Source organism: Homo sapiens, chromosome 2 (genome assembly GCF_000001405.40).
Source record: "Homo sapiens chromosome 2, GRCh38.p14 Primary Assembly".
Lineage (NCBI taxonomy): Eukaryota > Metazoa > Chordata > Mammalia > Primates > Hominidae > Homo > Homo sapiens.
This window is the reverse complement of record NC_000002.12, coordinates 67,465,255-67,475,932: the sequence shown is the minus strand read 5'-3', so window position 1 is coordinate 67,475,932 and position 10,678 is coordinate 67,465,255.

The window sequence follows — 10,678 nt, the reverse complement described above, 5'->3', positions numbered from 1 at the left end:
CAAGACCTGTAGCAAAGGACAAATAAGGGGAAAGGGTGAGAAAACTATCTCATTTCTTTGCTGAACCTCTTCTTTGTTCTCCATTGTGTTTTTTGATTTGTCCATGCAAATCACAGTCCTGGGAGTAATTAAAGTTCAGAGAGCTAACTAATAGCTCCTCAGTAACCGGATATTTTCTACGAATTTCATGGGTGTGGGTAAAATGGATTTTAAATATAATTTGAATATTTTAATGGAGAATTACACATTTTTAATAGAATTTGCCAAATATCCTCTGTTAAATTCATGTTAGTGACGGAAGAAGACTATTAGGATGCTCGCAACCTCAATGTGAATCAAAAGTAACTGCTTTGCCCACGAGACAGTGCAGCATGGAAGAGGTAATCTGGATGCTGGACTTTTGGTGCTTCCTCTACTACCCAGCCAAGGTGAACTTGGGCAAGCCCTTGACCTTCGCAAGGCTAATTTCTCACTTGTAAGAAGGAGCTAATAATTTCTGTCTTCTCAGGCAGGATGACATAAATTAATAGGTGTAAAGTGGTTGGTACCAGGCTTGGAATGGGAAAATTTTGGTAAGTGTCATTCATCTTCATTGTCATAACAGAAGTCCCCTGAACTCCTTGACACCTATCAAGAAGGGACAGATGCTGTGTTTACACCCACAAGCAGGTATGAAACAACAGCAACATAAGAAAACAACATTTGAATTCAACAGCTTGTTATTTGGGGGTGAGGAGGACAGGTTTTAATTAACAGTTGTATTTTTGTTTTTCCAAACAGCTTTGTGTTTACCAATTCAAACTTGGACTTCAGAGAAAACAGAGAGCACTCTACTATGATAACACAGAACTAGTACCATAATTTTTTTTGGTTAAGAAAGGTATGTACGTTCTGGAAGTTACCTGGGTAGAATAAAAAACAGAATAAAAGTGGAAAGAACAAAAGAATTTAAAAAATGAATAGAATTTATTTTCAAATAAATGTGCATTTTGTTAACCAAAATAATAAACATTAAATGTGTTTGTGTTTTGTGCCACATAACTATTTTTTAATGTCCTATTATTCACAGCCTAGTTAGAGGACCAGGGGTTCATTGAAGTCAGCATGTTTAAGAGCAGTCCCACAATTCTTACCAGGCTGAAAACCACTGCCTTCACCAGCTCTGGTTGCAATTATCATATGCAATACATTTTGTTTTAAATGGAAGCTTTTATAATGAAATTTAGAAGCCAGCGTCATTTCTCTTCCTTTGCTTTCTACTAAAAAAGAATTTGAGGACAGACAATAAAGGAAATGGCAAGGAACTATTCTATGACCTTGGGCAAATCTCTTCGGTAGTTCGGCCTTGTATACACACACATATGCCCACACACATGCACACACCCCCTTCGTTTTATATTCTTCTGCAAAGCCATGTCAAACAAAAAGTTGGATGGAGATTTGGCAATTCCTTGGTTATTTTGAAAAATGGATATATTGATCAAATTGAATGGGTACCAAATTTTCTAATTATGCAAATAATTGCTAAGTCTTCAATGTAGCTTGCTTAAGAAGTACTGCCCAGAGAAGGGGAAATGAAGAGTTTCTTTCTCACTTGGGTATACAATGAGAATTTGTAGAGAGCTGTAAGCACCTCAGCCGAGAAATGATGCAGAAGGAGAAAACGTGGGCTGGGTGCGGTGGCTCATGCCTGTAATCCCAGCACTTTGGGAGGCCGAGGCGGGCAGATCATGAGGTCAGGAGATCGAGATCATCCTGGCTAACACAGTGAAACCCCGTCTCTACTAAAAAATACAAAAAATTAGCCGGGCATGGTGGCGGCCGCCTGTAGTCCCAGCTACTCCGGAGGCTGAGGCAGGAGAATTGCTTGAACTCGGGAGGCGGAGCTTGCAGTGAGCCAAGATGGCGCCACTGCACTGCAGCCTGGGCGACAGAGCGAGACTCCTTCTGGAAAAAAAAAAAAAAAAAAAAAAAAAAGTAGAAAACGTGATACCCTTTTCATCTTACTATAATGAAAGTACTGGAACTGCCTTTTACACTAGATTAAAACATTTTTAAAACCCTTGTTCCTAGCCACACCCTAGAACACTGTTTCTGAGTTGCCTTTATTTCATTAACATTCTGGGTCAGCAAGAACAGGGCTTGGACAGAAATACAGCAAGATGGCTACCTATCACTTGCAGAGGAAAAAAAAAATTCAGGATCATTCCCCAAGTGAATTAAAAACATAATAACAAAAAATCCTCCAGTTAGTGATTCTTCTTTGCTGCCTGTAGGCAGTTCTTTGATTGTGGGATATCTGATGGGTGTTGGTGGGGAGAGCCAGTTTAGTTGTGTTTACATGAAATAAAAGGTAGAAGCTGCACAACTGTACCCGAGAAGCTAGGAAGGTCCCCCCCGATGCGGCAGCTGTGCTGTGAATGCCTTCAGGTACTTGATTTTTCCCTTTGTTGACATCAGTGTAGCCACATTAGGGACTCTTAGTGTCACAGTTAGACTTTGGAAATAAATACAGTATAGCAGCTCTCCAGGGACCTCTGCTGAGAAAGAGACATCAAATGGTGAGGAGATGGTGAGGAGGAGTGGCTTGCCTGGAGAGCCAAGGAGCTCCTTAAAGTGGGCTCTGGACTGAGGAGCAGTGAGCAGGCTCAGAATGAAAAGAGAGCAACAAAAAGGACTGAAGAGTTGACACCCACTGTCACTTTTTGCCTCGCTCATGAATTTGGCACGTGCCTTTGGAGAATTCAGTGCAAAAAGACCTCCCACCAAAGAGTGATGTCTGTTGCTTTGTATAGAGGTTTGGATTCCCTAGTTGGCTCTGCCCCTTTCTGCTCATGACTTGAAACAAGTCACTTCTCTCTAGACTTTAGAACTTTTCAATGCAACAAGGAAATCATATTCAGATGTGCTCATGTGTCTTGGGATGAAGTGGGAGGTAGGAGAAATTGAGTTCTTGGACTCAAGTACAGTGATGTGGATCCAGCAATAACCCTTTCATGGAAGCACGGTCTTCTCTGGTTCTCAAAATTCAGGCCACAGATATTGTCATCATGATCAGCTGAGAGCCTGTTTGTAAAGGTATGGTGCTCTGGGTCCACCCAGGATCCACGGAGTCAGCATCTCTGAGCATGGATCCTAGGAATCTGGATTGTAGCTGGCCCCTGGCTACTTTTTCTTTCTTAGTACATTATTGTGAGAAATATCACCAGCTCATCACCAGCTCTTATTCTTAACAAGGGCTAAAAGTGCTTAGTTTCATATGGATCCTCTCTTACTGGCTTATGTATTGAGCAGTACATGGTTCCACTTTTATTAAAGAACATTAGGAAAAGGTAATTTATTTCATGGTTTAGTCCACAAATCTGATTTTGAGAGAATGGAATGAAGAGTGTGAGGGGTGATCAAGAAATTTTTAATCAGTTGAGTGGAACATAGGGATGACGTCTACGTCCCAACCACATCTCCCCTAGCATGGATTCAGTCACTTCTGCTAATCTCACTTTCAATTACAAGCACAGGTTTTAAAGCCAGTGAATACTATAAGGTGTGTTGTCAGCTTGTTGTTTTTCTTTAAGCTACTCTGTACGTTCTGAATAATTACTTTGAAATGATTATTTTGAAGTTATACATTGGCTTTTTTAACTGCCATTGTCCTTGCAATTACAAGAAACACAGAATTTTCCACTCCTTCAAGATTGTTAAAAATCCTTACAGAAGAAACAGTCACACTCTGTGTGCCAAAGGGCACAAAGAAAGATGCATCAACTTTTAAATATCTATATTGCTCACTTTATACTACCTACCTTTTTGTACCATGTATAAAAATGTGTAAAATAATACAAATTTAAAATACATATATGTCTAGGTTAAGGAAAAAGCATACTGCACAAAAATGTCTTTGTATAAGTTCTCCATAAGATAGGGTTAGGAGATATTTATAGTTTTGCCGATGACTTAATACTTACTGCCCTAGGAATTCATTCATCCTTCCAACTGCCTTGAGAGGCCTTTGAAACAATAAAGCATATTTGTGACCACACTGGGAGTGGAGTCCAGGCCCCACATAGCAGACCTGAGACGCCTTGGCCCAAGGAGCTTAACTGATGTCAAATGTAAACCACTTTTCAAAAGCGTGTTATCAGGTCCACACCAGACTATCCATTTTGATAATCTCATTCCATTTTTCATTTTATTGTTGAAAGAAGAAATAGATTAATGAGAGTCTAAATCCCCCCAGAAAGAAAATCTTCCTTATAAGGCATGCCCGAAGAGAGATTTGAGAAAATTACTTGCTCTGCCTTTGTTTTGCCAAGTAAGGTAACATTTAGATCATTTATATTTGAAAAATTCTTAAGCCAGGTCAGTGTAGTCTGCTAGATTAAATCTGGAGGGGGAAAAAAAAACAAGAAGAAGATCATGAGGATGAGGATGATGACTACGACAACGATGATGATGTAAACTATAAATCTCCCAGACCCTGGTTTGCTTGTGTGTTTGAAGACTAGGGGCAAACCCCTGTGATCCATCTCAGATCCAACAAGAAAAAAGCGGCCCCAAATTGCATTTGAAAATGGTGCACCACATGAAAGAAACATTTGTCTAAAGAGAATTTAAAATGATCAGCTTCTAACTATACGAGAAATATTCTTTCAAGTATCCCAGAACAATAAGAGAAAGTCTTACAGAGAATGGTAATCAGAATCATGGAGTGATCTGTGACAGAACAGAAGGAGCCTTAGATAGAAATCATCATGGTAACATCATTTTGGTAATACCACATTGCTAACATCATTTTACAAATGAAGAAGTTAGAATCTAAAAAGGTACCCTTCACAGTTTCAGAAAACCTGCCTTCATTAGTCCTGTAGTGCAGTGAAGCTGAAGATTCCACAGCAGCTTCAGAAGGAAATACCAAGGTTTGAAAACTTCAGTGGCCCAAAGTTGGAACAAGAGCCCTGCCTTCCAGACCTCGAGACCAGAAGACTGGATTTGAAGCTCTATGAAAAATTTCATTTTTCAACCAATCGGAGGACAATTGGATGCTCAGTGCAGGTATAGTAAAGTGTTGTTTCTGACCAAATATTCCCACCCTCAATGAAGTTATAGAAAACCATATTCCTGCCCTAAACAAGTTTAGTATCCAAGGGTCATTTTTCAACTTTACTTCCTCCAAAATCCCAAGGTGATTCTCAGAGGTTATCACTGCTGTTAAAAATCCAAGGTTTCAGCAAAAGAAGCTCCATTTGGCTGATAGCAGAATTGCAATACTGGATTCTTTTTGTCACCCTTCTCCCCAGGGCATCACAGTGCCAGGCTCCTGTCAGTTTAATTGGGAACCACTGATATAGACAAATCATCAATGACACAGGAGTTCATAATAAATTGACTGTATTGGCCAGGCGCAGTGGCTCATGCCTGTAATCCCAGCACTTAAGGAGGTTGAAGTGGGCAGATCATCTGAGGTCAGGAGTTCAAGATCAGTCTGGCCAACGTGGTAAAACCCTGTCTACTAAAAAAAATTAAATAATTAGCTGGACATGTTGGCATGTGCCTGTAATCCAAGCTATTTGGGAGGCTGAGGTAGGAGAATTGCTTGAACCTGGGAGGCGGAGGTTGCAGTGAGCTGAGATCAAGATCGTATCATCGCACTCTAGCCTGGGGAACAGAGCAAGATTCCATCTCCAAAAAAAGAAAAGAAATGGACTGCATTGCCTCTGGAGGAGGGGCTGGATCAGATCTAGCTCATTATTTGCCATCAATAATTGGGGCACAGGCTATATGGTTGAAGCACTGCATCTCACTTGGATTATGTTCTATGCATCTTATTGTAGACATTCTGATATCTGTATTTAGAACCATCCAATATCTGTCACCACCATTCCCACAGAACACTGGGAGGAGAGCTGAATCTGTATTCACCTAGCACACACCACAAGAAGCAGTCTTGGCCACGCACAGCACATCATGCAAGTCGGTGAAGCCCCTTCTGGGACAGAAAGGGAGGTGCATAAAGCTGGATTCTGGCACAAAGTCTCAGCCAGGAAGGAACCACATGCGTTCTCTATCGGGTGAGCACTTTGCCTTGAGGTTTGGTGAGTTGCAGTGTTGTGCACCTAAGGCTGTCCCCATTAAGCTGCCTCCTAGCAAATTTAAAACCACTATGACACAGACACCTGTGCAAAAGGAAATTAACTAAGACCCTGCACTGATGTTCCCTTCGGAGCTCTTACCACCCTCTAAGAAGGGCTACATATCACCCTGTGAGAGGGCAGACATGGCTGTGGGAGCTGTCTAGACCTGCTGTGGTGAAGAAGGACTCTACTGTCTTAACATCGACTGTATTTCTTATGTCAGTATTGTCTCCCAATTTTAACATGACTGAATTGTTAAAGGATTTTTTTTTTTTTTTTTTTGCCTTGCCTACAAAATGACACAAGTCCTCTCCTTTTCTGGTTTCCATTATATTCCATTGTGTGGTCCTGCACAGAGTCAACTTTCATTCCAAGATTTTGCATTTCTATGTAATACTACTCAATAGCTATAGTGCATAAACATATGTTTAGGCACTTTGAGAAACATTTTTAAATTAAAATGCCTTATGTCAATCAGAGGCAGGCAGTATCCAGGATGTGCATGAAGCTGAGCGTGTGGATTATGTATTCCAGGGAAAACATCCTTGTAGTCATTGTGCATGCTCCATGGCCGCTTTTCAAGGTGAAATGTCTCTGCCACTAAAATAACATTTTTATTTAGTCAAGACACTAAAAGCAGTTAGAGGCCAGTATTGATTGATCACTTGCCAATGTTCAATTTTTAAATCAAAGTTATTTTGGACTTACTATTGTATGAGCTCCCCAAACATCCATAGTCACTTTATTTGCATTTTACATGTATTCAAAATAACTACTTACTTTCTCCCTTTAAAAAAATTGATTGAAGAAACATTTGCTCTCAAGATGAAAAACATTACACTGCAAAGCAATCTGTCATAGCTGAATGATGATTCCCTTGATATAATGGTTCTTAATGAAAATTGTGAGGAATTTTCTACTCTATAAGCTTCAAGAGGCTTGGGTATGGAGGACATGGGTCCCCCACCGCAGCAATAAGAATAACATAGGCCTTCCAGATATGCCCATCTTGAGAGGTGATGACATGTGCTTGTTTTTGAGTCCTCAAAGTTTGTTCCCTAATTATTTCAGATATTCTCTCCTTAGTAATTATTTTGGATGTTCTCCTCCCTCTGAAATAAGAGGAAAAGTCACTTTCATACAAAATACACAGTGTTGCAAAAGGATAGGACTGTAGCAATCTGCCAACAATTAGAGACGGAACCACGTAAACCAAAAAGCTCAAAGCTTATTAGTCATTATTGACATTATTTTTAAAGTTTTCAAGTGCAAGCACTAATTAAAAGGATAAGATTCTAACCGTTTAATTAAGTTTGATGAGTTATAGAATTTTTGAGGATGGTAAGCAAGTATTTGCCTGGGTTGCATCATCAAAGGCATCAGATGAAGAATTGTTTCAATCTAAGGCATGTTTCTCAATAAATGCTTCATTTACACAAGCTAGAATTTTCAATTCTTATCCAATGTTATATATAGTTGTCTAGATGAATCTTTGAATTACTGTGTAACTATTAATAACTGTTCACAATGCACATTGTATATCTACCTTGTACCTAAAGGCCATGATAATGATTATAGAAATAAAAATGAATGAAATGGTCCACATTCAAAGACATACTATCTAGTAAAGGAAACAGATGTAAAACAAACAAATACCATACAGTGTACCAATCTCATTTGTATCTGTACAAAGATAGCCCAGAGGAAGAAATGACAATTTTTTTTCTGTAGAAGTCAAGGAAAAGGTAAACCCAAGCAGAATCTTTATTTTATTTTATTTTATTTTATTTTATTTGAGATGGAGTCTTGCTCTGTCACCAGGCTGGAGTGCAGTGGCGTGATCTCGGCTCATTGCAACCTCCACCTCCCGGGTGCAAGCAATTCTCCTGCCTCAGCCTCCCGAGTAGCTGGGATTACAGGCACCCGCCACCACACCCAGCTAATTTTTGTATTTTTAATAGAGACGGGGTTTCACCATGTTGGCCAGGAGGGTCTTGATCTCCTGACCTCGTGATCTGCCCACCTTAGCCTCCCAAAGTGCTGGGATTACAGGCATGAGCAAATCTTAAAATATTAATAGAAGCATGCTACAGTCACAAAAGGAAGATGATTTGTACACAGGAAATAATGTTTAGGAGAGCATTAAAGAATGAAACACCAGAGAGAGAAAAAGGGAAGAGAGAGATACAAAACTTCAAACAGCTTTGTGTAGTTAGAACGCAGGCAGCAAGAGGAGGGAGATGAGGCTGGCCATGCTGTCAGGAACTAAATCATGCAAAGCCTTTTGTGCAATACAAAGAAACTTGGCTTTGATTCTGTGGACAATGGTGAACCATGAAAAAGTTTGTGATTTAAAAAATATTACTCTAGAGGCACTTTGGAGGCTGGATTAGGGATTTCAAGGGAGACAGATTAGAATCAGGAAGGCTCTATGGGTGGTCATTATATAGTCCAAATGAAAGATAAAGTGGATCTTAAATAGAGTGAATAAAATAAATATGAGAACTACTAGAAAGGAAGACTTGATTGATTGAATTTGGAGTCAGAGAGAGGAATGGAAGACTTTGAGCCTTAGCAAAGAACCTCGGTATAGCATTTAAGAAAGGGTGGCATTCACAAATGCAGAGGTTAGAGGTAGTCTTGAAATTGTTTTTAATTACTCATTAGCAGAAATGATCATTATTCTCAACTCATACTCAGGTTCCAGAGATAGGGAAGTGGCATGTTCCATCATACACCACCGCACTTGGCAGATTCCTGGGAAAACAATCAGTAACTCCCCTGTAGGCCCTGTGAGAACAGCTCAGAAGCTACAGTCAACAGAGTTGGGCCAGAGCTGTCCCTACTTAAAACAACCAGTAGGGATGAAAAAAATTCAGTAAGTCGTTTGGTTGTTTGGTCTACATGACACTGCCCCCTACTATCTCTGAACCTGGAAGAAAGTCCTACATACACACAAGCACACACAGAGACACACACAAACACATCAGAACAATTGGAGGAGTATTCTCACGGATATAATTGGATATTTTGACTGTAAATGCCATGTCCATGGAAACGAAGATGATCTCAGTACTGGGGAACCTACTCATCTCAAGAGCAAACATTTGTTTCAGATATGTTCTGAAATGCCAATATTTGTTAGAGGAGAATTTGCTTCTGGATATTTCTCTAATTTCTGCCTTTGCTGCTGTTGCTGTTCCAAAAATCTTAGGCTTTTCCAATACAATTATTCCCTGAATATAAAAATATAGATACCTAGCTATGACCCAGGTATTGTGATGAGTTTTACATAACTTACCTCATTTAATCCCCACAACGACCTACAGATATATACTGACACTATCCTAATTTTTTTTTTCTTGAGATGGAGTCTTTCTCTGTCCCCCAGGCTGGAGTGCAGTGGCACAATCTCAGCTCATTGCAAGCTCTGCCTCCTGGGTTGATGCCGTTCTCCTGCCTCAGCCTCCCAAGTAGCTGGGACTACAGGTGCCTGCCACCACACCTGGCTAATTTTTTATATTTTTAGTAGAGATGGGGTTTCACCATGTTATCCAGGATGGTCTCGATCTCCTGACCTCGTGATCTGCCCGCCTCAGCCTCCCAAAGTGCTGGGATTACAGGCGTGAGCCACCACGCCCAGGCCTATCTTAAATTTTTAGATAAAGAAACAGAAGCACAGAGAGGTTAAATGACTTGCGCAAGGTCACACAGCTAGGAAATGTACAGACAGGGTTCAACCCCAAGAAGCCTGGCTGCTTATCCAAATGATCTTATCCAAATGCACTTCCCATGTTCAGTTTATTTGGATTTACCATTGGACCATATTTCCTTGGACACAAGATTACAACACAACCATTTCAATTATTGCCAACCCTTTGTCATTTACAAGCTCAAAGTGCAAATCTGTAGTCACATGATCCCATGCAAATTTCAGAAAGCCTAAAATGATGAGCTCACACACCCAGTCTGGTGACTTTACATTGAGATCCAGCTAAACTGCATGAATTATCAAGGCTAAAATTAGGACTCTTACATCTTAGCTAACACCTGCCTCTCTCTGTGCTAAAATATAATTAGCTGCTTTTCCTGGGGGAAATTGTAAAACTGAATGCAATTAAACAAAAGGAGAGACAGCAGATTGTACAGCAAAACAAAACAAAACAAAAAGTACTTAAAAAGCCAAGATAGATACATATTCAAAGGTAGCAATTTCAGAGGCAAGGCAGACCTTTCTTATTTTGCAGTAATGTTCTGAATGGCAAAGAGCATGGCCTTTGGCACATGCTTGGTCCTCCATGTTTGTTCACTGCTATGCACACTGTTTGGGGTTGAATTAGGACTTTGGCAGGGCAGCCATTCTCTAGCTATGGTTGTATATTCATTGATGACCCCAAAAAGCAGGTGATCTGTGCCATCCAGTCCACATGCCTCACACCCAAATAGCCCAGTGGAAAGATCCCTCAAGTGCCACATGTGAGTCCTGGATGCTCGTAGAGGCTCTTGTGCTAGCTAAAGTTGTGGGATGTGGTTCCAGTTGCTTGACT